The sequence below is a fragment of the Homo sapiens genome, chromosome 6 (genome assembly GCF_000001405.40).
Source record: "Homo sapiens chromosome 6, GRCh38.p14 Primary Assembly".
NCBI classification, from domain to species: Eukaryota; Metazoa; Chordata; class Mammalia; order Primates; family Hominidae; genus Homo; species Homo sapiens.
This window is the reverse complement of record NC_000006.12, coordinates 98902786-98929895: the sequence shown is the minus strand read 5'-3', so window position 1 is coordinate 98929895 and position 27110 is coordinate 98902786. Positions and strand designations below refer to the sequence as shown.

The following is a 27110-nucleotide window of genomic DNA, read 5'->3' as shown; positions in this document are numbered from 1 at the left end:
TTCTGATTTCCTCTGGTGACTTTCCCCCCATTGCCTTAGTTGATGTCATGCCTACTTGGGTTTCCTGGCCAGTAAGCTAAGTTTTTATAGTCCTGGTTTCATGGATAGGGTGATCCTTTCAGAGTTTTGACTTTATGAAGGTCCTTCCAACTGTGACCTGTGTCTTTAAATAACGTCTCTGAATGGGTGTTAGGGAGTCCCCTTGTAACCATTATGGCCTGTAACTGGTTCCATGAGTCATGTTAGCTTCAGCCCCTGACCTCTGTTCATTGACTTTCTTTTTTCTGCTCATTGACTTTCTTTCTTTCTTTTTTTTTTTTTTTTGAGACGGAGTTTTTCTCTTGTTGCCCAGGCTGGAGTGCAATGGCATGATCTTGGCTCACTGCAATCTCCACCTCTTGGATTCAAGCGATTCTCCTGCCTCACTCTCCCGAGTAGCTGGGATTACAGTCATGTGCCACCATGCCTGGCTAATTTTATATTTTTAGTAGAGACGGGGTTTCTCTGTGTTGGTCAAGCTGGTTTCAAACTCCTGACCTCAGGTGATCCACCTGCCTCAGCCTCCCAAAGTGCTGGGATTACAGGCGTGAGCCACCATGCCCAGCTAACTTTCTTCTTAGTTTCTTACTACTGTGGATTCTCTGCACTTCTTTCAAGTTCAGTTATTTAAGTAGTGTTTCAGTGCTTATATTTTTAAATATTTCATTGTGTTTGGATCTGTTTGGGTTTGAGAGGCAAAAGGATGCTGTTATACAATTTAAAATTATTTTAGATTTTTATAATTTTTAATTTGCTCATCACCTATCAACATGTCAAATATTTTGTGCCTATTATGTACTGTGTACTTTGAGAAATAAAGATCTTTGGCTAGATTCCCTCCTTCAAGAGACTTATTCCTAATATAAACCCTAGTGGAACTAAGGTATATATCTCATAAAAATGCAGTGCCAGTAGGTATCAGAAAGTAAGGCTACTGATGTGGAAAAAAGTGGTTGGAAAAGAAATGATAGAGGAAGCGAGACTTAACGTAAAATACGAAGAGTGGTTAGAACTTGATTGGGTTTGCTGGGTTAGACAAGAAGAGATTGGTCCAGCTTGAAGAGAGCCTTAAAATACCAAACCAAATAATTTAGATTATATCTTGCAGATAAGAAAAAGGCATTGGAGGTTTTTCAGTGGAAGGGACATTTAGTGCAAATAATGTTTTATAATCTTAGTGCTGAAGTTTTGGAAGACTAGTGCATTGCTCTATTAAAGAAAAGTTGGGGCAGGGCGTGGTGGCTTACACCTGTAATCCCAGCACTTTGGGAGGCCGAGGCAGGCAGATCACCTGAGGTCAGGAGTTCGAGATCAGCCTTGCTAACATGGTGAAACCCTGTTTCTACTAAAACTACAAAAAATTAGCTGGGCATGATGGTGTATGCCTGTAGTCCCAGCTACTCAGGAGGATGAGGCATGAGAATCGCTTGAAACCAGGAGGCAGAGGTTACAGTGAGCCGAGATTGCGCCAGGGCACTCCAGCCTGGGCGGCAAGAGAGACACCCTGTCTCGAAAAAAAAAAAAGAAAAGTTGGTACATCTCCCTTCTTAGAAGTTAAACTCAAGACTTTACAGGTACAAAAATAAGTTTGTTTTATAGTTCCTTGTTGTCAACAAAAGTTTACCTACTCAATGAGGATGGGCCCCAGCCTATGTTGTAAATGAGTGGAGCTGGCTGGGAACGAGAGTGGCCACTGAGAGAGCTCATGCCTCTTGGGATCTTGTTGATTGTTAAAGGTTACAAACTAGATCAAATTTTTAAAAAACACTGTTTGGCCTCAGTGAAATATGTATACAAACATAGTTTGAAACAAAAGCTGTGAGTTTGCAACCTCTTTATAGATAGCGTTCATTATTAAATCTTTATTATATTCTATCATAACATTTAAAAAATACATTATTTAAAATTGTGTACAAAATAGAAAAATGTGGCCTGTTTGATTTGAAGGGTTGAATAAGTGGCTATTTATAATTTTGGATATTTTGACTTTGTGACTTGGACATAAAAATATTTTCCAAAACTCTTTTCTTACAGGTAAAAGAATGTCACATGTCAGCATTTGTACCTGAAGTCAGCATGCAAAGTTCAGGGTACCTGGATGAATGCCAACTTTTGCATTTCCCATGTGTATCCTGTGACCATTCTATCTGGGGTGAGTGATTTCTAAGAGTAGCTGGCAACAAACCAGATGCCAGCCAGCCATGGACTGCCCTAACAAATAATGCTAGGAGTTATAAATTAAACACTGATCTGTGATCTGTGATGTGTAAGGCAGTTAATGTAGTTCATCTGGATTAACTGTCAGCACCAAAGAACTATATTCCCATAATGTGAAATCTGAATTCTGTATGTTTGAAAGAGAGTAATAATTAACAGTAGGGAATTTTTGTTAACATGTAAAATTACAGCAATGTCTAAGATTATTTTGAATTTACAGCAGTATTTTAGTGGTTCACCATATAATTTAAATAATTTTAATTTTCAGATTCAAAGACTTAGTATTTCTTGAGTGATGGTTATAATTTTGTATAAAATACGGCTTTTTGGATTGTATATCTTCCAATTGCCTTATAATATAGTTTTGCTTCCCATATTGTATGCATAACAATATTTAGGTTTCTTAAAAATACATTAGAAAATTTATTTATACCAGACTTCACATTTGTATTTTAAAACTTGTTTTTTTAGTTTCATTCTGAGAAATTACATTGAGGGTAGAGCCTGTTCATTACCTTATCCATGCATTTTTCTGCTTATTTAAATTATTTTACTTCACCAAGCCATTCATTTTTTTAGAACATCCTTCAAAGAGTTCATGCATCTTACTGAGGACACCTGACCTTTTGAAGCTTCATAATTCACATCTAGATGTCACCGGTCTTTCCCATGTTAACAGTTCTGACCATGTTTTATTATATATGCCTTCGGCGCCGAGCCAGGACAGCTACAAGAGGAGAAATGATGAACACCCATAGAGCTATAGAATCAAACAGCCAGACTTCCCCTCTCAATGCAGAGGTAGTCCAGTATGCCAAAGAAGTAGTGGATTTCAGTTCCCATTATGGAAGTGAGAATAGTATGTCCTATACTATGTGGAATTTGGCTGGTGTACCAAATGTATTCCCAAGTTCTGGTGACTTTACTCAGACAGCTGTGTTTCGAACTTATGGGACATGGTGGGATCAGTGTCCTAGTGCTTCCTTGCCATTCAAGAGGACGCCACCTAATTTTCAGAGCCAGGACTATGTGGAACTTACTTTTGAACAACAGGTGTATCCTACAGCTGTACATGTTCTAGAAACCTATCATCCCGGAGCAGTCATTAGAATTCTCGCTTGTTCTGCAAATCCTTATTCCCCAAATCCACCAGCTGAAGTAAGGTAAGACTAATTTTTTAATGACCTAAGTTATATGGTAGAAAGGTTTTGGTTGTTAATATTGGAGATCTTTTTTATTGCAAGCATTCTTTTAAGTAACTTAATTGAATTTGATTTTGAAAATTTTCCTTAGTTTTCTGATGGGGAAGAGAGATCACTCATATAAAGATTTAATTCAGGCTTTATACCTGTAATACCTCATACTGTAATATTCATGGCTTATGATATTTGTATCTCATAAAATTTACCAAAACCAAAAAGCACAATTTGAACTCATAGGGACATGGGCCATTCTGGGACGTTAGTACGAAATATGACTTTGAAAATATTTTCAAACAGGCATCATGTTACTACTTTTAAATCTTTTCAACAACTCACAATAGGCCTGTGAGTGACACTTCAGAGGAGGTCCTTAGGGGATTTGGTTTAACGTTAGTTGAATGTTTTTGCAACACCCATATTCATTTAAAAATCAATGTTGCTTTAAGTAATTCATGCATTCTCCCTACAAGCCTGTTTTGCATAACAGCTCCTTGGCTGTCGTTTTTGTCATTCAACCTCCTAATTTTACAAAATATTAATATAATGCAGTCTCACATGTACCCTGTTCTCCATGTGCCTAGGACCCATTCCTCCCTCGAAGAAACCACTTTTATCAGCTCATTTTGTATCTTTCCAGAATTTCTTTGTGCAGACACAAGCAAATACAAATATAATTTTATATTTTTATACACAAAAGTAAGCATATTTATCACACTGTTCTGTACCTTGTTTCACACAGTAGTATATGTTGGATCTTTTCTTGTAAGTACAAAGAGAGCTTCCTCATTCTTTCCTGCATTTGCAAGTAATGCATAGTGTGTATGAACCCCAACTTATTAACTAGTCCCCCATTGATGGGCACTTAGTTGTTTCTAGTCTTTTGCTCTTATAAACATTAATGCAGGGAATGACCTTATCATAAGTCACTTTGCATGTGTGCAAGTATATCTGTGGGATAAATTTCCTAGAAGAAGGCTACTCAACCAAGGATAATTTGATAATTTTGTAATGTTTAACATTTTTTTTTTGCATTTTAACAATTTATTCTTAGTTACATTTAATTTTAATTTTTAACAGTTGTAATTTTCATATGTAATGCCAAATTTCTCTCCAAAGAGTCTGTACTATTTATATTCCCACTAGCAGGGCATGTACATGGGTGTTTTGCCAAAGCCTCGCCTACAGAGTATGTTTATAAATTTCAATATTTTTGCAATTTAATAGGTGAAAAATGTTATCTCATGTTAACTGTTAAAATTCTTTTATTATCTCTGAGGTTGAAATCTTTTCATATGTTTAAAAGCCATTTATATTTCTTTTTCCTTTAACTATCTGATCATATTATTTGCTCATTTTTTCTATTACTCATGGATCTTAGCAGTTTCTAGGACTTCATATCACTTTATTAAATCACTCGTTCATTAAATATTTTAGTGCCTACCTAATGTGCTAGGTGTTGTTCTAGGTATTAGAGATGTGTCAGCGAGCAGTGAACAAAATAAATAAAAATTCCCGCTCTCATTCTAGCCTGAGAGCAGATCAGGGCACCTGTTCAACTGTAGGGATGGCCAGCTGCCAGTGCAGGAGGAGGCGGGCAGAGGTCAGCTGCTACCTCCGTAACATGCAGCTCCTCTGATATCTCTGTCCCCTCATCTCTAAGGGAATACTTCCAGGGCCTGCCAGAAAACATACAGAGTACAGCTCAACTTGGAGATTGCTGGTATAATCTTTACTTTTTTTTCCAGAACTACCTAATAATTCATTGCAAATAATGTTATTAGTCGTTTTTTAAACTCAGAAAGCCAGCATACCTTAATTAAAATCAGATTTTTGTTTTCTCCCTAAGAGGAAAAAATGGAGTAGGATCTTTTGTTTTGTTTTGAGACAGGGTCTCACTCTGTCGCCCAGGCTGGAGTGTAGTGGCACGATCTTGGCTCACTGCAACCTCTGCCTCTCGGGTTAATGAGATTCTCCTGCCTCAGCCACCTGAGCGGCTGGGATTACAGGTGCGTGCCACCATGCCTGGCTAATTTTTGTATTTTTAATAGAGATGGGGTTTCACCAGGTTGGGCAGGCTGGTCTCGAACTCTTGACCTCAGGTGATCCGCCTGCCTCGGCCTCCCAAAGTGCTGGAATTACAGATGGGAGCCACTGTGCATGGCAGGATCTTTTCTTATATGAGAATTGTTTTATTAGGACTCTGACATTCTTCTTACAAAGTTACCTACTTTTTTCCAAAAATCTGAAAAGATTTAGGGAGGAGATCAATGGAACATGTAATGTGTTTTCTCCAGTCTAAAACTTAACAGCTGCATAACTAATTTTAAGTACAAATCATGCTCTTGGGTTACTGAGAGTTACTGGTATATGGTTGTGATTAAAGTTAAAACTTTATTTATACCTGTATCTCTAATTTTCTTTACTGATTTTCAGCTTTAGTCTACTGAAAATACCATTACATTTTAAGAGAAAAAAAGGTGACCAATATATTATTAAGATATAAGAAAAAGCCTTTTTAAATTTTACTGATTATGAAATCAATAGATGTTTCATTGTTTAAAAATAATCTAGAAAATACCAAAAAAAAAGGAAAATATATATGAAAAAAATCTGTAATTCTTCTGCCCAGATTCAGTAACTGTTAACATTTGGGTGAATTTTTTATACAATCAGAAACATTTATTGAACACCCTCTCTGCCAGTTCACTGCTAGGAACCAAGTAGAGAGTCAGACAGAGATGGCTCTTTTTTGAGCTTACAGGCCAGCCTAGAAGAGGACCATGAGGAACATGTATTGGCAGAGGGGAGAACCTAATCTGTGGGCTCAGAGAAGGCTTCCCTGGGGAAGTGACTTACCTGGGACCTGAGGGTTGAGTGAGGCTCCAGTGTGGATAGGAAAGGAGGAGAGACAACAGCACATTTGAACGTGAGATCATGAGCTAAGATCATGGTGTTTGAAGAAGTGAGAAAAGTCCAAGAATGCAGAGAATAAGCTGTTGGCAACTGGAGACATGGGAGTAACATTCTTAAGATCTAAACTAGGGGTTTCTAGACTTTGGGATTTTATAGATTTTTTTGGATCCAGCTTCCCAGAAGAATATCTTGAGGTGACTATTCCTGTGCAATTTTTATGGAAATTTTTGTGGAAATTTTTTTATGAAGATACTCTAGGAGAAGCTAGTAAAGGAGTAGGGAAAGCATGATGGGAAAAATCAAGCAAGGATGCAATATCATGTGAAGTCCCAGTCTGCTGGGAGGCAAAGTTGCTAGAGAGCTGGGCCCTTATACTCCTGCACCAGCCAGACTTTTACCATGGGCTGGAAGGGTGGGAAAGGGGGACTGTCAATCTTCTAGGCACATGTCACTCCCTAGATGAAGCCCAAGGTAGTTCTGTGAAGAAGGTTGTAAGTGTAAACCCTTAGGAGCAAAGCAAGCCCATCTGCAGGGTGGCACATAGAACTGATGAGATGGGGGATGTGCATGTGAATGGAGTTCAGGTGGGAGGAGTCAGTCACAATAAACTAGTAACATAATAATCATCATAAAAATTAGGGAACTCATAGACTTGTCAGATTATTTACTTTGCTAAATTAACATACAGTAAAAAGACAAACAAAATGCCAATGTTACCTGTCATCACCATTATTTCATAAAAGTTTATGCATCTGTTCAAAAAAAATTAACCAGTGAAGAGCTTGGTCAATTCTGAGTTAAATGACAAAATCATGTTTTTTGGCCCACAAAGTCGAAAGGACAAGATCATGACAAATTTGTGAAATGATTACTCAAGCAACTCAGTTTATACCAAGAAATCAGCATGATCAGAATCTTGAATAAAGATTTCTTTCAATGTTATAAGAACATATATGTGTGATAGGTGCATACTAAATGTGCATTCTCACATTTAGTGATGGAAAACTCCGTCATGTACTACTGTTTGGGAACCCAGTGGGCTACAGTGTCTATTATTTTAATTTTATATCCCTCCCTTAGGAGTTAACAAACAAGAATGTGTTGGAGTAGCTCAGGAATTTGCAGGAAATTGACTTCTTTTAGTCCCAGAACATTTAAAATTTAAAACCAGTCTTTTCCTATTTCATGTGATTGCATTTCTTTGTTCAGTAAATGAAGTGGAGAAGTTACAGGTAGTTCTACCAGATCTTAAAGTCTCCTCATTTCTTGCCTAGTACCTTATTAAGAGCAAAAGAAAAAGGCCTGGCATGGTGGCTCACGCCTGTAATCCCAGCACTTTGGGAGGCCGAGGGGGGCGGATAACAAGGTCAAGCGTTTGAGACCAGCCTGGCCAACATGGTGAAACCCCGTCTCTACTAAAAACACAAAAATTAGCCAGGCGTGGTGGCGGGCACCTGTAATTCCAGCTATTCGGGAGGCTGAGGCGGGAGAATCACTTGAAACCAGAAGGCGGAGGTTGCAGGTTTTATAGAGTGCCCTAGTCCTGTGAATAATATCTTAATGGATGCTTATGTAAGACTCAGAAAATAGGCTAGCTCAGGGTTACCATTTGGAAGAGAGAGACAAGGAAACGGGGAAGAAGAAGATGACAAATAGAGGTCAGATTAAAGAAACCAATTGGAATAAAGTTATTTGGGAATGAAATTTAATGATGTGGAATTTTTTTTCAGTGTTCAAAGCACTCCAACTATATAATATTGAAATTAAGAAAGCAGGGAGAAAAAAAGAGGCTTTCATAGAATTTGCTACCAAATCCAGTTGCTTAAGTAACGATTTCACAAATTTGTCATGACCTGGACCTTGGTCATGTGGGCCAAGAAACATGAGTTTGTCATTTAACTCAGAATTGACCAAGCTCTTCACTGGTTAATTCTTTTTTTAAGCACATGCTAGTTTATTAGTTTCCAATTAGAGATGGGCTGGGAGGCAGGGAGTGAATAGATAGACCTGTCAGAATACTTGTTACTTTTATTTCTGTTTTCCTATTATTCCTTCACTTTCAGCTAGTGAAATGGAACAGGGTTGGCAAGATAACTTTCTTTGCTGGCTACTAGATATACTTACTGGCTAGGATAAATTTTGGTTGCAAGGAAGCTTTTTGTACTCATCTGCCTGGCTTCAAGCCTGAATACAGGTTAGAAAACTTGCTTTCTTTGGTTTCCATTAATGAAACATCTCTCTTCCTCTCATCTACCCACTGCTTCCTGGTTGCCCTGGAGAAAGTTTCTTAGTGGTATAACAGGTCAGCAGTCATAGAGTGGTTTGTTTCTGAGCACTGGACACATAGTAGTCATCCAGTACAATCAACAGAAAGAACATTAAATGGGCTGTGTTAGTTACTATCCCAGAATTGAATGCTCCAGATGCAGACTGTAAGCCCAGTCTCAAAGACATTCCAGGCTGAATTTTGCACATGTGATACTTGAGATTTAAAATACTTAAAGAGTACATTAGAGTTTGTCAGATTTGTCCAGTAAATAAATACAGTGTATGAGAATAATATTAAACATGTAAATGTACTATTACAAAAGCCATGACTTAAAGGAGTTTAATCATATCAACACTGCCCTGGGGCTAGAGAATTAAAAGAGTTGAGCTTTCTCCAGAATGTGTGTGTGTGTGTGTGTGTGTGTGTGTGTGTGTGTATGTGTGTGTACCCATATGTACATGTGCGTATGTTTATGTTTGTTTTCTTGTTTTCACTGACTAGTTTTTATTATTCTGGCTTTAGTTTTCCAGAATAAAAAGAAATTCTCATATTCTCTTGTTGGGTAAGATAGATACCTTTCTCATTTTAACTTAGAAATGATACATTTTAGCTCTATTGGGGAATTTTAAACAAAAACCTTAATGCAGGTAGCAGAAAATCTATTTGTATTGGTCTCATAGTTAATTCAAATAATTTTTCTGTCTTTTTTTTTCTTGTTACTTTTTAGGTTATCAAGAAAAATAAAAGTAAAATATAGAAACTAATGATTTACTTGGAAATTTTTAATATTTAGACATATTTTTAAATCTTTCTAAAAACAGATACAATCCTGATATTCCACTTTAAGTATAATTTTTGCAGATTCTGATATATATGTAACTAAATAATCTTTATGCGATATAGAAGTCAGAAGCAAGAATGATGCTAAAATAACATTAATCCTAATATGTTTAAACATGCTAGAAATGTTAAGGAAGTCAGTGTAAAGCATCATCTTAACCCTGTCTGTTTTGCATGTTCTGCAAGGTAGCTAGAGAGGACTTTTTGTAGATTAATGCATTATTAAAATTGAATATTTATGTTCTAATCAATGTCTTTATGTTTATATTTATAATTTTTAATTTGATTTACATTATAATGCATTTCAAATTATACATGAAGACCTGTATTGTGTGCATATTTATTTATTGCTAAGAACTTGGCAGAGGTTATTTCTTTATTATATTTTCAGTGTTCTTCTTAAGCCTCCCAAAACTCCCCATTGAAACTAAACAACAAAGTAGGCTGGTTTAGTTCACATGTGCTGTAAACCAGTATAGGTGGTTATTTCACAGGGTCTTGAGGGGTCCTTGTTTCTTGGAGATGTTCCTCCAGCATCGTCTGGTGTCAATTTGCAGTGGCGACAAAAAAGTAAGACTAAAATTTGAATTTCTTCATGTATTCTATAATTTACTCTGTGATTCTTGGAAATAAGGTATCCAAAATTAGGCATACATTTTCTCACCAGCATTGTTTTAGATGTTTCATGCTTCTGTTCCCTAGCACCTATATGGCTAGCTCTGTTTTGCTGCATGTATTTACATTAGAGTATTCAAATCAATTCCTTCGTTAGGAACCCTTGATTTTAGCAGTTAATCTCTAGGGACATTCTTAGGTTCAGGATGGCATTCCAGGTTTGCTTTTCTGTCTTGTCACCAGAAGAAGATACCCAGCCTGCTTCTCTTTCCTCATTAAACCTGCCACAGCCTGCTCTATTCTTTGGAACTCTTTCCCTGCCTTGCAAGATTGGTTATAGGGTGTAACTAATTTATCCATTGCTACTTTAATGTTGCCTCTGAATACAAATACTCACAGGCTGTTTATGTTTGATGGATTTTATTCCTACATTTCAGGAGAGAATCAGCAAAAATAACAAGTATGGGATTTTAAAGGTTCTAGAAACTGTAATAAAAGTCCCTACTGCTAAAGTTCCCTATTCTGTGGTTCCTGATTCCCTTCGTGATATGTTTATTAGAATTCCTTTGGAGTTTGCTTTTATTCCTGAAGGTAGAAATTGCCATACTTCCCTCTCCATTCTTCCAAGATTGTGGCTGTATGCTTTTCTTGGTCCCTTCTGGGCCTAAAAACAGTAGGAGTACCTATATGTTGATGGCTTCTATAATTTTGGCTCTGATTTCTCCCTTGAGTTTCACATTTTTTTTTTCTTTCAGTTTCTTCTATGCGTTGCCATTATCAGTTTTTACTTAGATCTCAGTAGGTCATTGGGCCAGGGAAATAAACGAACAATTTATTGGTGGAAAAAAATCTCATATGATTAATGAATATATAAAAAAATTAAGTGCCATTAGTAATCAGTGAATTACAAATTACATCATAAGGAGATATGGCTCACTATGAAACTAGAGATTATTTTTAATGCTTTCAGTGATCATTCTTATGTACTATTGGCATAAGCTTTTTTGAAAGCAATTTGTAGTGTGTATTGAGAGACTTAAAAATATTCTTATTCTTTGATGTAAAATCTTTATTAAAAAATTTTACTAGCAAAAGTAAATAATTAGGAATAGAGAAAAGGTGATAATTGAAGTATTTTTAAATGTTTCTAATTTTCTCTTTATTAGAAATAATATTAGAGAAATAGTTAACTGACATATGAGTATATTAAGTACCTGATGATGCTATTATTATGAAGAATCTTTAAATAATTTTGGAAAATAGTTTTATAAGAAGACTTATCTGGAGATGGAATATAAGTTAGGCCTTGAAGAATAGATATGCAGATAATAGTAGGTTGGGCATTTCATGGGGAGGAAGATAACACGAGCAAAGACATAAAGGTGGAAATAAGTTTATTGCATGGAAAATAATGATTAATCTGGCTGGGAAGCAGGAGTTCATTTGGAGGAATAGGAGAATGTTATTCCCCTTTTATGTCTTTAGATATTTGCTAGATACTAAGGATATAAGGATAACTTAAATATAGCAAAAATGGAAATTCAGGAGAAGGGCATATACAAGAAACAGTTTCTTGAAAAATTTGATGAAACAATGATTTGATAAAATAAAGAGAAAAAGATAATATGAAAGTTTTGCATTTATATGAGGCTAGTGACAGAAATGGAAAAGCTGAAGCAGGAGACCTTTGTGAAGCAAAATGATCAGTTTAGTTTCCGCAGTTGGTTTAAGCCATGCACACAGGGAGCTTCATCTTTGTGTGTTTTATTCTTTGGGTTTACTTATCTTGTAAACTGTAATGTTGTTCAGATACCTCTAACTACATGTTCCAGTTTTTAAACTGATCAATGTGAAATCTGTAAAAAAGGACTGTTTGGGGACTTATAAAAATAAATTAATAAGGTCTGTGGCATTTGGTTTTTTAAAGTTTTTTATATCTTGGGAACAATACTTATATTGGATTCTATTTATTTTGATGACTTTGTTTCACACTGTGACATATTGGGCATGGGTCTATAACCTTAAGGGACCAGTAGATCTCATTCTAAACTGTATTATAGGGAAGTTTCTTTTTTTGGCAGATGGGAGATTCTTTGGTCAGAGAGACCTACGAAGGTGAATGCTTCCCAAGCTCGCCAGTTTAAACCTTGTATTAAGCAGATAAATTTCCCCACAAATCTTATACGACTGGAAGTAAATAGTTCTCTTCTGGAATATTACACTGAATTAGATGCAGTTGTGCTACATGGTGTGAAGGACAAGCCAGTGCTTTCTCTCAAGACTTCACTTATTGACATGAATGATATAGAAGATGATGCCTATGCAGAAAAGGATGGTTGTGGAATGGACAGTCTTAACAAAAAGTTTAGCAGTGCTGTCCTCGGGGAAGGGCCAAATAATGGGTATTTTGATAAACTACCTTATGAGGTAAGCCAAAAATATTTAGCAGCAGTATTGGATATAACACTATAGATTTTTAATCTTTAGATATTAATGTTTACTGAGCATCGGTAATTGAGCATTGGTAAGTTATATATAATTTGATGTGTTGTATATTTTGATTTTGGAAAAACTAGACAAAATCATGTTTTAACTAATTTCACTGCTTTTGTTTTGGTTTGGCATTAGTGTTTCTGGGTAAACTATTAAGTATATATTTTCATATTGCTAATTAATAATAACCAAATACAAAAACCAGTAATAAGTAACAATCCACTTTAATTCATATTACACTTTAACTGTGGGCAATACATGCTTAACTTTTTATTAGTTATGTTAAAGATGATTTGCTATTAAAAATAAGAATATTAATAAGATTGTGAGATGAATGCTTATTCTGTTTAATCTGTAGTTTCTCTAAGTGTCATTTTTTTTCTATACTAACTCTATTCTATATTCTCCTAACTGTAATTTTTGGTCTAGGCAGGTAGTGCTATTACCTTGGAATTATTAATACTTTTTTTTTTTTTTAGTTTTTTTTTAATTATACTTTAAGTTTTAGGGTACATGTGCACAATGTGCAGGTTAGTTACATATGTATACATGTGCCATGCTGGTGTGCTGCACCCATCAACTCGTCATTTAGCATTAGGTATATCTCCTAATGCTATCCCTCCCCACTCGCCCCACCCCACAACAGTCCCCAGAGCGTGATGTTCCCCTTCCTGTGTCCATGTGTTCTCATTGTTCAATTCCCACCTATGAGTGAGAACATGCGGTGTTTGGTTTTTTTGTCCTTGTGATAGTTTACTGAGAATGATGATTTCCAATTTCATCCATGTCCCTACAAAGGACATGAACTCATCATTTTTTATGGCTGCATAGTATTCCATGGTGTATATGTGCCACATTTTCTTAATCCAGTCTATCATTGTTGGACATTTGGGTTGGTTCCAAGTCTTTGCTATTGTGAATAGTGCCTCAATAAACATACGTGTGCATGTGTCTTTCTAGCAGCATGATTTATTGTCCTTTGGGTATATACCCAGTAATGGGATGGCTGGGTCAAATGGTATTTCTACTTGTAGATCCCTGAGGAATCGCCACACTGACTTCCACAATGGTTGAACTAGTTTACAGTCCCACCAACAGTGTAAAAGTGTTCCTATTTCTCCACATCCTCTCCAGCACCTGTTGTTTCCTGACTTTTTAATGATTGCCATTCTAACTGGTGTGAGATGGTATCTCATTGTGGTTTTGATTTGCGTTTCTCTGATGGCCAGTGATGATGAGCATTTTTTCATGTGTCTTTTGGCTGCATAAATGTCTTCTTTTGAGAAGTGTCTGTTCATATCCTTCACCCACTTTTTGATGGGGTTGTTTTTTTCTTGTCAATTTGTTTGAGTTCATTGTAGATTCTGGATATTAGCCCTTAGTCAGATGAGTAGGTTGCGAAAATTTTCTCCCATTTTGTAGGTTGCCTGTTCACTCTGATGGTAGTTTCTTTTGCTGTGCAGAAGCTCTTTAGTTTAATTAGATCCCATTTGTCAATTTTGGCTTTTGTTGCCATTGCTTTTGGTGTTTTAGACATGAAGTCCTTTCCCATGTCTATGTCCTGAATGGTAATGCCTAGGTTTCCTTCTAAGGTTTTTATGGTTTTAGGTCTAACGTTTATGTCTTTAATCCATCTTGAATTAATTTTTGAATAAGGTGTAAGGAAGGGATCCAGTTTCAGCTTTCTACATATGGCTAGCCAGTTTTCCCAGCACCATTTATTAAATAGGGAATCCTTTCCCCATTGCTTGTTTTTCTCAGGTTTGTCAAAGATCAGATAGTTGTAGATATGTGGCGTTATTTCTGAGGGCTCTGTTCTGTTCCATTGATCTATATCTCTGTTTTGGTACCAGTACCATGCTGTTTTGGTTACTGTAGCCTTGTAGTATAGTTTGAAGTCAGGTAGCATGATGCCTCCAGCTTTGTTCTTTTGGCTTAGGATTGACTTGGTGATGTGGGCTCTTTTTTGTTTCCATATGAACTTTAAAGTAGTTTTTTCCAATTCTGTGAAGAAATTCATTGGTAGCTTGATGGGGATGGCATTGAATCTATAAATTACCTTGGGCAGTATGGCCATTTTCACGATATTGATTCTTCCTACCCATGAGCATGGAATGTTCTTCCATTTGTTTGTATCCTCTTTTATTTCCTTGAGCAGTGGTTTGTAGTTCTCCTTGAATAGGTCCTTCACGTCCCTTGTAAGTTGGATTCCTAGGTATTTTATTCTCTTTGAAGCAATTGTGAATGGGAGTTCAATCATGATTTGGCTCTCTGTTTGTCTGTTATTGGTGTATAAGAATGCTTGTGATTTTTGTACACTGATTTTGTATCCTGAGACTTTGCTGAAGTTGCTTATCAGCTTAAGGAGATTTTGGGCTGAGACAATGGGGTTTTCTAGATATACAATCATGTTGTGTGCAAACAGGGACAATTTGACTTCCTCTTTTCCTAATTGAATACCCTTTATTTCCTTCTCCTGCCTAATTGCCCTGGCCAGAACTTCCAACACTATGTTGAATAGGAGTGGTGAGAGAGGGCATTCCTGTCTTGTGCCAGTTTTCAAAGGGAATGCTTCCAGTTTTTGCGCATTCAGTATGATATAGGCTGTGGGTTTGTCATAGATAGCTCTTATGATTTTGAGATATGTCCCATCAATACCTAATTTATTGAGAGTTTTTAGCATGAAGCGTTGTTGAATTTTGTCAAAGGCCTTTTCTGCATCTATTGAGATAATCATGTGGTTTTTGTCTTTGGTTCTGTTTATATGCTGGATTACATTTATTGATTTGCGTATATTGAACCAGCCTTGCATCCCAGAGGTGAAGCCCACTTGATCATGGTGGATAAGCTTTTTGATGTGCTGCTGGATTCGGTTTGCCAGTATTTTATTGAGGATTTTTTTGCATCAATGTTCATCAAGGATATTGGTCTAAAACTCTCTTTTTTGGTTGTGTCTCTGCCCAGCTTTGGTATCAGGATGATGCTGGCCTCATAAAATGAGTTAGGGAGGATTCCCTCTTTTTCTATTGATTGGAGTAGTTTCAGAAGGAATGGTACCAGTTCCTCCTTGTACCTCTGATAAAATTCGGCTGTGAATCCATGTGGTCCTGGACTCTTTTTGGTTGGTAAGCTGTTGATTATTGCCACAATTTCAGATCCTGTTATTGGTCTATTCAGAGATTCAACTTCTTCCTGGTTTAGCCTTGGGAGAGTGTATGAGTCGAGGAATTTATCCATTTCTTCTATATTTTCTAGTTTATTTGCATAGAGATGTGTGTAGTATTCTCTGATGGTAGTTTGTATTTCTGTGGGATCGGTGGTGATATCCCCTTTATCATTTTTTATTGAGTCCGTTTGATTCTTCTCTCTTTTTTTCTTTATTAGTCTTGTAGCGGTTTATCAATTTTGTTGATCCTTTCAAAAAACCAGCTTCTGGATTCATTAATTTTTTGAAGGGTTTTTTTATGTCTCTATTTCCTTCAGTTCTGCTCTGATTTTAGTTATGTCTTGCCTTCTGCTATCTTTTGAATGTGTTTGCTCTTGCTTTTCTAGTTCTTTTAATTGTGATGTTAGGGTGTCAATTTTAGATCTTTCCTGCTTTCTCTTGTGGGCATGTAGTGCTATAAATTTCCCTCTACACACTGCTTTGAATGCATCCCAGAGATTCTGGTATGTTGTGTCTTTGTTCTTATTGGTTTCAAAGAACATCTTTATTTCTGCCTTCATTTCGTTATGTACCCAGTAGTCATTCAGGAGCAGGTTGTTCAGTTTCCATGTAGTTGAGCGGTTTTGAGTGAGTTTCTTAATCCTGAGTTCTAGTTTGATTGCACTGTGGTCTGAGAGACAGTTCTGTTCTTTTACATTTGCTGTGGAGTGGTTTACTTCCAACTATGTGGTCAATTTTGGAATAGGTGTGGTGTGGTGCTGAAAAAAATGTATATTCTTTTGATTTGGGGTGGAGAGTTCTGTAGATGTCTATTAGGTCCGCTTGATGCCGAGCTGAGTTCAATTTCTGGGTATCCTTGTTAACTTTCTGTCTCGTTGATCTGTCTAATGTTGACAGTGGGGTGTTAAAGTCTCCCATTATTATTGTGTGGGAGTCTAAGTCTCTTTTAGGTCACTGAGGACTTGCTTTATGAATCTGGGTGCTCCTGTATTGGATGCATATATATTTAGGACAGTTAGCTCTTCTTGTTGAATTGATCCCTTTACCATTGTGTAATGGCCTTCTTTGTCTCTTTTGATCTTTGTTGGTTTAAAGTCTGTTTTATCAGAGACTAGGATTGCAACCCCTGCCTTTTTTTGTTTTCCATTTGCTTGGTAGATCTTCCTCCATCCTTTTATTTTGAGCCTATGTGTGTCTCTGCACGTGAGATGGGTTTCCTGAATACAGCACACTGATGGGTCTTGACTCTTTATCCAATTTGCCAGTCTGTGTCTTTTAATTGGAGCATTTAGTCCATTTATATTTAAAGTTAATATTGTTAGGTGTGAATTTGATCCTGTCATTATGATGTTAGCTGGTTATGTTGCTCGTTAGTTGATGCAGTTTCTTCCTATTCTCGATGGTCTTTACATTTTGGCGTGATTTTGCAGCAGCTGGTACCGGTTGTGCCTTTCCATGTTTAGTGCTTCCTTCAGGAGCTCTTTTAGGGCAGGCCTGGTGGTGACAAAATCTCTCAGCATTTGCTTGTCCGTGAAGTATTTTATTTCTCCTTCACTTATGAAGCTTAGTTTGGCTGGATATAAAATTTTGGGTTGAAAATTATTTTCTTTAAGAATGTTGAATATTGGCCCCCACTCTCTTCTGGCTTGTAGAGTTTCTGCCGAGAGGTCAGCAGTTAGTCTGATGGGCTTCCCTTGGTGGGTAACCCGACCTTTCTCTCTGGCTGCCCTTAACATTTTTTCCTTCATTTCAACTTTGGTGAATCTGACAATTATGTGTCTTGGAGTTGCTCTTCTTGAGGAATATATTTGTGGCGTTCTCTGTATCTCCTGAATCTGAATGTTGGCCTGCCTTGCTAGATTGGGGAAGTTCTCCTGGATAATATCCTGCAGAGTGTTTTCCAACTTGGTTCCATTCTCCCTGTCACTTTCAGGTACGCCAATCAGACATAGATTTGGTCTTTTCACATAGTCCCATATTTCTTGGAGGCTTTGTCCGTTTCTTTTTATTCTTTTTTCTCTAAACATCCCTTCTCGCTTCATTTCATTCATTTCATCTTCCATCACTGATAACCTTTCTTCCAGTTGATTGCATGGGCTCCTGAGGCTTGTGCATTCTTCACGTAGTTCTTGAGCCTTGGCTTTCAGCTCCATCAGCTCCTTTAAGTACTTCTCTGTATTGGTTATTCTAGTTATACATTTGTCTAAATTTTTTTCAAAGTTTTTAACTTCTTTGCCTTTGGTTTGAATTTCCTCCTGTAGCTCGGAGTAGTTTGATCGTCTGAAACCTTCTTCTCTCAAGTCGTCAAAGTCATTCTCCGTCCAGCTTTGTTCCATTGCCGGTGAGGAACTGCGTTCCTTTGGAGGAGAGGCGCTCTGCTTTTTAGAGTTTCCAGTTTTTCTGCTCTGTTTTTCCCCCATCTTTGTGGTTTTATCTACTTTTGGTCTTTGATGATGGTGATGTACAGATGGGTTTTTGGTGGATGGCCTTTCTGTTTGTTAGTTTTCCTTCTAACAGACAGGACCCTCAGCTGCAGGTCTGTTGGAGTTTGCTAGAGGTCCACTCCGGACCCTGTTTGCCTGGGTGTCAGCAGCAGTGTCTGCAGAACCGCAGATTTTCGTGATCCGCGAATGCTGCTGTCTGATCATTTCTCTGGAAGTTTTGTCTCAGAGGAGTACCCGGCCGTGTGAGGTGTCAGTCTGCCCCTACTGGAGGGTGCCTCCCAGTTAGGCTGCTTGGGGGTCAGGGGTCAGGGACCCACTTGAGGAGGCAGTCTGCCCGTTCTCAGATCTCCAGCTGCGTGCTGGGAGAACCACTGCTCTCCTCAAAGGTGTCAGACAGGGACATTTAAGTCTGCAGAGGTTACTGCTGTCTTTTTGTTTGTCTGTGCCCTGCCCCCAGAGGTGGAGCCTACAGAGGCAGGTAGGCCTCCTTGAGTTGTGGTGGGCTCCACCCAGTTTGAGCTTCCCGGCTGCTTTGTTTACCTAAGTGAGCCTGGGCAATGGCAGGCGCCCCTCCCCCATCCAGGCTGCCACCTTGCAGTTTGATCTCAGACTGCTGTCCTAGCAATCAGCGAGACTCCGTGGGCGTAGGACCCTCCGAGCCAGGTGCGGGATATAATCTCCTGGTGCGCCGTTTCCTAAGGCCTTCGGAAAAGCGCAGTATTTGGGTGGGAGTGGCCCGATTTTCTAGGTGCCATCTGTCACCCCTTTCCTTGACCAGGAAAGGGAACTCCCTGATCCCTTGTGCTTCCCAAGTGAGGCAATGCCTCGCCCTGCTTCGGCTGGCGCACGGTGCGCTGCACCCACTGTCCTGCGCCCACTATCTGGCACTCCCTGGTGAGATGAACCCGGTACCTCAGATGGAAATGCAGAAATCACCCGTCTAATGCGTTGCTCACGCTGGGACCTATAGACTCGAGCTGTTCCTATTCGGCCATCTTGGCTCCTCCCCCCACAATACTTTTTTTTTTTCTTTTTTTTTTCGAGATGGAGTCTCGCTCTGTTGCCCAGGCTGGAGTGCAGTGGTGCCATCTCGGCTCACTGCAAGCTCCGCCTCCTGGGTTCATGCCATTCTCCTGCCTCAGCCTCCCGAGTAGCTGGGACTACAGGTGCCTGCCACCATGCCTGGCTAACTTTTTTTTTGTATTTTTAGTAGAGACAGGGTTTCACTGTGTTAGCCAGTATTGTCTCGATCTCCTGACCTCGTGATCCACTCACCTTGGCCTCCCAGAGTGCTGGGATTATGGGCGTGAGCCACCGTGCCCGGCCTGGAATTATTAATACTTTTTTGTTTGTCTAGTCTGAAGTCCTGTTTTCAGTGTGTCCCTACTGGGGTGTTTCTGAGGTATTTTAGCATCCCAGGCTCCCAGATATCAAATGCTAGTAGCATTCTAGGGCTGTGTGACATGAAAACCTCTCCCCACCAGTTTCGAAATATTCCTAGGGGTGAGAGTAGGGCCAAGCATTTCTGTCTCCCACTGAAAACTACTGTGTGGTTAAAAATGTATATCAGTTTTCTTTTTAAGGAAACTTTATAGACTCAAATTTTAACCAACTTAGATATCCCTTTTCCAAATTGATGTGTATTTCAGATTTCATGGAAATAACACAAATAGCTTAACTTTCATGAAACAGTAAGATAGCCTTTTGAATGTCTTAGAGTAATAGTAACTATAATGCCTCTCCAACATATTACAGTTAAAATGCCATGGCACATCCTGTGAAGTAGCTAAAGTTGCCACATAAAGGTGAATTTAAGTGTCCAAGTTAATTTGGTCTTTAAGCCATGGGACCAGGATCCCACCCAGACCTCATGTGATGGAAAGGGAGCTTCACAGATTGGACAAAACTGGCCTTTACTGGGAGGAGGGAGGAAAGATGAAGGAAAAGCTGGGTTTGGGGAGAGAGAGGAGCATGAGATACTGACAGTGTTGCTCCTCAGGGCTCTGCGGTGGGTCTGTTGTTGCAGCAGTGGGAGCAATTCATCTGGAGGAGAGTGAATCGCTGCTTTGATTCTTACCCACTTGCAAAAACTGTAAAATAGAAATATAATTTCAGCAAATACATTTTAAACAGTTTATTGAATTTTATCCAGACCTGATAAAATGCTTGACCCATAGAATTTGAATGAAGGCCAGAAGACACTTGAGGCAAAGGGAAGAGAAGGTACAAAGATGAGAAGTGAAACTGTGTGACTTGTTTGGAAACTCCAGTATTTCAGTGTGACCAAAGCATAGGATTTGATAGGGGAGGCTGCAGGAGATGGAATTGGATGGAGGCTCAGGGCTGCCTCAGTGCACAGCTCCATGCACATAGATGACAGTGATTGGGACTCCCTGTCTTTGGCAGTGTGGAGTCTATTCTGCTGCGTCATAGAGGTCTGTTTGGGTTTCACCAAGAGATTTGCATTTTATCCCTTCAGCCAGTGATCTTCAGGGTGGTCCAGTATACAGCCAAATTAGTCAAGGGGAGTCACAGATACTTTAGACTTTGCAGATAATTTACTTTTGCTAAAAAATTAGAACATGCCCTAGAGTAGGAAAATACAATAAAGTAAAAATATCGGTTTTCCTTAATCAGTGTATTCAATGAAGTCCCAATTAAAATGCAAACAGAATTTTTTAAAATTGAAGTTTGCCTAAAAATATGAAAATACTCAGGAACATTCTGGAAAAGAAGTGTGATAGAGGAGTATTAGTCCTGATTCTCATTTGCAGTCAAACAATCCATGACATTCCAACACATATGCTTTAAAAAACTTAGTTATTTTACTTGGAGGACTATTGATATGGGAGAAATAGCATATAGATAAATGGAACAGAATAGAGTCCAGGAACAGGTCAAGAGGATAGTGGGAAATGTATCGACAACTCCCCTGGGAAAGTGTTATGTTTCTGTTGTTAAAAAAAAAAAGAAACACAAATAAAAACAGTTTTATATCTTTTCTTCCTTTTTTGTCTTTCAGAATAAAAACGTTTTGATACCAATGTTGTCTAGGATATAAGCAAAAGGGTACTTTCATACAATTTTTATGGATATATAAATTGATGGGAACATTGTGAATGGCAATTCTCCACTTGCATCAAAACTTCTAAATGCATGTAATTTACTATAAGGATATATTTTCAAAGTTTGCCAAGATGAACATACATGCATAATACATACACACAATGATATTGCAGTATTATTTGCAATAGGAAAAAAAGCAGGACATACATCAATGAGGAACTAGTTGAATTATGTCACTTCTATGAAACGGAAGGAGGTGGGTCTGTATGTGCAGATATAGAAAGATCTATAAGATATATCATTAAATGAGAAAAGCAAGTTGCTGAATGGTGTATATAGTATCATTCTTTTAGTGCAAATTCAAGAACAGAATTTCATACACATTTATTTGGAAGAGATCAGAAAAACAATGATTATCTTTGGGGAGAGGGATGGTTAGAACTGAGTGTAGAGAGGAAGAAACTTCTTATTTTAGACCTTTCTTTAATGTTTGGGTTTACTTTTTACTTGAAATTTTTGATTTTTGTTTGTGTAATATTTTACACATCAACAGGTGTATCTGGATGATGAGATTTGTTAAAGAAAAATTATTCAATCGTTCTAGGTATAGGGACCACTACAATGGGATTTTGCAGTGTCTGAGAGAGATTGGGTTCAACAGCATGGGCAAGTGGGAATTAATAGCCAAGGAGCAGATTAGAAAGTCAGTAAATTACTAAGAAAATTACTAAGAAACATCAGGAGTAAGGGAGATTCTGGCTACACCCTCTTTAAACTTATTTTAAAGATCATGTTGTTGTTACTCTGCGTTTTGTGATATTTTGGCTTAAAACAGTGAAAATCTGACCTGAAATTAATACTGAGCCTAGATAACAAAATAAATTGAAGAAGAGCATTTAGGTTAATTGCAAAACAAAAAGTTTAGCTAGATAAATACATTAAATTAAAAAAAACCCTCTCTCATCTAAATAAGATTTTTAACATTTAGCAAATATTTAATATCTTTTCCTTTATATTTGTTAGTTCAGAATAGGCTATTTAAGCAGTTCTTTGAAACTAGAAGCCCCCAACTGTTTAGAAAAAATAAACCTTGGACTAGTTCAAGAAGATAATTTTAATTAGAGATAACAATCTCTTGAATTCTGCCTTCTTAATAATTCTTGTATCTGTTTGCTACTCCATCATCACTGCCAGCTGCCTTAAGCAGACCCCTTATTTCCTATTTCCTAGAATTCTGTATTAGCCCCATGGCTGGTTTCTCTTCCTGCCTCCTTGCTCCCAGTAGCACGCCCACAATGATCTTTCTGAAACACAAATGTGAACATGTCACTCTAGTTTAAAACCCCTAGTTTAAAACCCTTCAGGACTCCTCATTGCTTTCAGGATAAATCCAAGCTCCTCTGTGAGGCTTTCATAACACAGTCTTTGCCACTAGACTCTCTTTTCACCTGGTTTGCCCCTGACTCTTTGAAGCTGAATGTTCCAGCAAAAAACTATCATCAGAGTGAACAGGCAACCTACAGAATGGGAGAAAATTTTTGCGATCTATCCATCTGACAAAGGGCTAATATCCAGAATCTACAAAGAAGTTAAACAAATTTACAAGAAAGAAACAACCCCATCAAAAAGTGGGCAAAGAATATGAACAGACACTGCTCAAAAGAAGACATTTATGCAGCCAACAAACATAAGAAAAAATGTTCATCATCACTGGTCATTAGAGAAATGCAAATCAAAATCACAATGAGATACCATCTCATGCCAGTTAGAATGGTGATCATTAAAAAGTCAGGAAACAACAGATGCTGGAGAGAATGTGGAGAAATAGGAATGTCTTTACACTGTTGGTGGGAGTGTAAATTAGTCAACCATTGTGGAAGACAGTGTGGTGATTCCTCAGGGATCTAGAACTAGAAATACCATTTGACCCAGCAATCCCATTACTGGGTATATACCCCAAGGATTATAAATCATTCTACTATAAGGACATATGCACATGTATGTTTATTGTGGCACTATTCACAGTAGCAAAGACTTGGAACCAACCCAAATATCCATCAGTGATAGACTGGATAAAGAAAATGTGGCACATATGTACCATGGAATACTATGCAGCCATAAAAAAGGATGAGTTCATGTCCTTTGCAGGGACATGGATGAAGCTGGAAACCATCATTCTCAGCAAACTAACACAGGAACAGACAACCAAGCACCGCATGTTCTCACTCATAAGTGGGAGCTGAACAATGAGAACACCTGGACACAGGCAGGGGAACACACTGGGGCCTGTTGGGGGGTGGTGGGGCTAGGGGAGGGATAACATTAGGAGAAATACCTAATGTAGGTGACGGGTTGATGGGTGCAGCAAAACACCATGGCACTTGTATACCTATGTAACACACCTGCATGTTCTGCACATGTACCCCAGAACTTAAAAGTGTTTTTTTTTTTTTTTTTAAAGCTGAGTGTTCCTGGCACAGGTACACTGTACACTTTCACTTTGGAGCTAGGTCTGCTAGGCTTTAGTAGCATTCTGTGTATCTTTTTGTCAAAGCTATTAAAACGTATCATTGTCCTTACCAATCCCCACTGGACTGTAAGCACTCTGAGAATGGGCACTCTTTCTTTTCTGTCGCCAGTGTCTGGCACGTAGTAGCTGTTCAGTAATGCTGAGTATGACAAATTGTATTAGTCAATAGATTACCAAAGTGTATCTTTGCACCTAAGAAAATGAGTAGGCAATGTGAGGTGAGTATACTTTGAATAATCTTGAAATGCACTACAGTCAAATGCACGTATGATTTCTTTTATTTGGATAATTCTGTTGGATGTTTATTTACTATGTGAAAATATTGTTATAAAATGTATGACACTTTTATTCCTTATTAGATTATGTTATATGTTTCATAGAATGATACTGCTTTTCACTCTTGATGATCTTGGTTTCTCTGTCTTATTTAGCTTATTCAGCTGATTCTGAATCATCTTACACTACCAGACCTGTGTAGATTAGCACAGACTTGCAAACTACTGAGCCAGCATTGCTGTGATCCTCTGCAATACATCCACCTCAATCTGCAACCATACTGGGCAAAACTAGATGACACTTCTCTGGAATTTCTACAGTCTCGCTGCACTCTTGTCCAGTGGCTTAATTTATCTTGGACTGGCAATAGAGGCTTCATCTCTGTTGCAGGATTTAGCAGGTTAGTACAAAGCCTTGATGAAGTTTTTTTCCCCCCCAGCAGCAGGTTATACTTATTATGTAGTGGTTTTCATAATAAAAGTTTGAAATTATGTAACATGTACTTACAAAAATAAAAAGGAAATATATTTTGAGTGTCATGTTTAGAATGCTGCTGCTTATAAAAAAATAAGTGTTTTACTATCCTCTTCAGCTAAATTTTATATGAATATGAAGGGAAACTATACCCTTTACTTCATGTTTCTTAAATCCCAAGTAACTTTCAGCAGAGCTCCTGTTTCTTCTTTTTCATATTTGCAGCACAGATGATTAACACATTTTAAAAACTATTTCCAAATCAAAATCTACCTCTCTAATGTGATTTGTCAGAAATGGAAAACAATTTATTATAGAACATTTTTAATTAAATCTTAATTACATGTGCAATACATCACCCAGATTTAGAAGCTCATTTAAACTAATTATGTTGAAAATGCAGTTGCATGCTAAATAGACGACCACACTTGCAGACCTGCCCAGGTGTTTCCGCTCCTTTCTATTTAAGCATTTAGTTTCCTTACTATTAAATGTCACCTGTTAAGCATTTGAAAGCTTGCACAAGTGCATATTCATTTAGTAATGCCATAGTAATTTTTTCTTAGGATACAAACAGGTGTTTTTCTCCTAACCTTGATCATGGTTTTTCTCATTGTATGTTACATATAATCCCAGCATTTTCATGAAGTTAAATAATGAAGAAGTAGAAACTTTAGAGAAATTTTCTGTTATTTTTAATTAATGAATACTCTTGTATTCTATTTTTAAAAATGAAAAGTGAACTGTAGCAATCCCTACACATATCCCCAGTGTACATTCTACAACAGTGGTTTATGAATTAGAAATTCGTATGTGGAGCCTTGTTTCCTCAACTTAGATTATAAAAATAAAGATGCAGTTCCAGAAATAAAGATTTGATATTGTTAGATTTAAATGAAGTAATGATGTTTGAAATAGTAACAATGTGTTCCAAATACTGAGCTTGATAGTTTATGCATCAAAGTGAAAAATAAACCAAGTAGTAATGGCTAGTAGCACATGTTGAAACCATGGATGCACTGAGTTTCTTTTCTGCCAGAAATTGAACCAGGAGAAGGGGTTCATTGCTAGATATTTGGCAGCTGTCCAGTGAAACACAGTTTAGTCCTTTCTACTTCCCTTTGCCCCAAACACACATATTTCAAATTCTTTTCTCTGCTAATAGGACCAAGAAAGAACTGAAGCTAATGAAGTCTGTGAATATTTAGAGTATACATTATCATAAACCAAGACTAACTGAATATGAAAACAGAACAAGTGGTGTCAGTAAGCATTATTTTACATTATGTAGACCATTAGGGTATTTTAATTACCCTCATAGCTCTTTCCCAATGTTTTCCATTATTAAGAATTTATTAAACGTTTGTTTTCACCCTTTGTGTGCAAGGCATTGTAGTGGGTGTTGATCATATACAGAGACATGAGATATATAATATAGTTCCTGCCTTCAGGCTACAGAGAAGATAAAGATATTAAGATAAACATATAAACATATCCCTTATTTTTATAAACAGAGTAACAGGGTAGTAACTAATGTGTAGACATTAAAGAAAATATTAGTCGTGAATGGCTGAAGTCCAGCTGTACTGGCAAAGTGCTGCATATGACTGTGATAATAACGAGTAAAATATAAAGCTAATATTAATCAATTTTAAAAACTTTATGCAGCTTCTGGCGCTTGAGAAGAAACATCACTTATAAGAAGAAAACTTAGCCATGCCATTTAAAAAATTTTTATACTAGTAATGGATAAAGATCTTTTGCAAAGTTAGAGTTTCTATCTACTTTCTAACCCACAATTTATCTTCCATTTTCAATTCACCCAGGGTAGTTGCTGTAGAGCAGTTTGAATAATCAGAAAAAGCCATATATAAATTTAAGTTCTCATATTTTACTGTAGTATTTCAGCCAGTAAAATCATAAATCTTGATGGCATTCCTTTAAGTGTAGTCACTATTCCCATTAAGAAAAGAAAAAGTTGAGGTAAGAGGGAGAGAGAACCTTTTCTTGTGGGGGGCATATTGGAGTTTTGCCTACTGATTACTGTTGGCCCCCATGACTTGACTGCTGAATTGATAGTTATTATGGCTTGTAGGCAGCATTCCCAGAATAAACAATAAATATGCATGGCTTGATTATTAATGAATAATCTTTGAATAAGTATGGTCTATTTATGCTCAGTACTATGAAGAAGACTTATTTGTAATACTTTAAAGAAGAAAAGCACATTTAAAAACTAGAGACCAATGTTGATGAGCTGCTTTTTGAACAAATCTTTGGGAAAAAGTTGGATGCAGTTTATTTTTGTTGCTTAAAAGCCTTATCTCACAAGTTAGAACTGTTTAACTAGATTTTAAATAACTTTTTAAGAATTGTTATTATTCAGAATAGTGGAGAAATAGGTTGCATTGGAATAAAGAGAACTTAAAACTTTTAATCAGTTATTAAAATCCTATTCTAGCTACAGATTTGTGATTTATTACTTTGAGTACTGTTCATGCATATCATTACTCATTAAAATCACATCTATTATAATTCCACTTTTCTAGTATGGTTCCCCAAAGTC

The 27110-nt window shown here is 37.4% G+C and overlaps 1 protein-coding gene across 11 annotated transcripts in view; it reads left to right on the top strand.

Annotated features, from left to right (window-relative positions):
* Positions 1-27110, top strand: part of FBXL4 (F-box and leucine rich repeat protein 4) — a 79412-nt gene that overhangs the window by 18051 nt on the left and 34251 nt on the right. For 5 of the 11 annotated variants that reach the window (XM_017010727.3, NM_012160.5, XM_005266930.4 and 2 more), the window contains 4 exons: positions 2074-2191; positions 2836-3419; positions 12177-12522; positions 24226-24470. In XM_017010727.3, the coding sequence (XP_016866216.1) occupies positions 2908-3419; positions 12177-12522; positions 24226-24470 (1103 nt within the window). In that variant the 5' untranslated portion in view covers positions 2074-2191; positions 2836-2907. Of the gene's footprint in view, positions 1-2073; positions 2192-2835; positions 3420-9974; positions 10051-12176; positions 12523-24225; positions 24471-25709; positions 26771-27110 lie in introns of those variants that run through there. The other 6 variants (NR_103836.2, NR_103837.2, XM_047418626.1 and 3 more) reach the window with 4 other exon arrangements.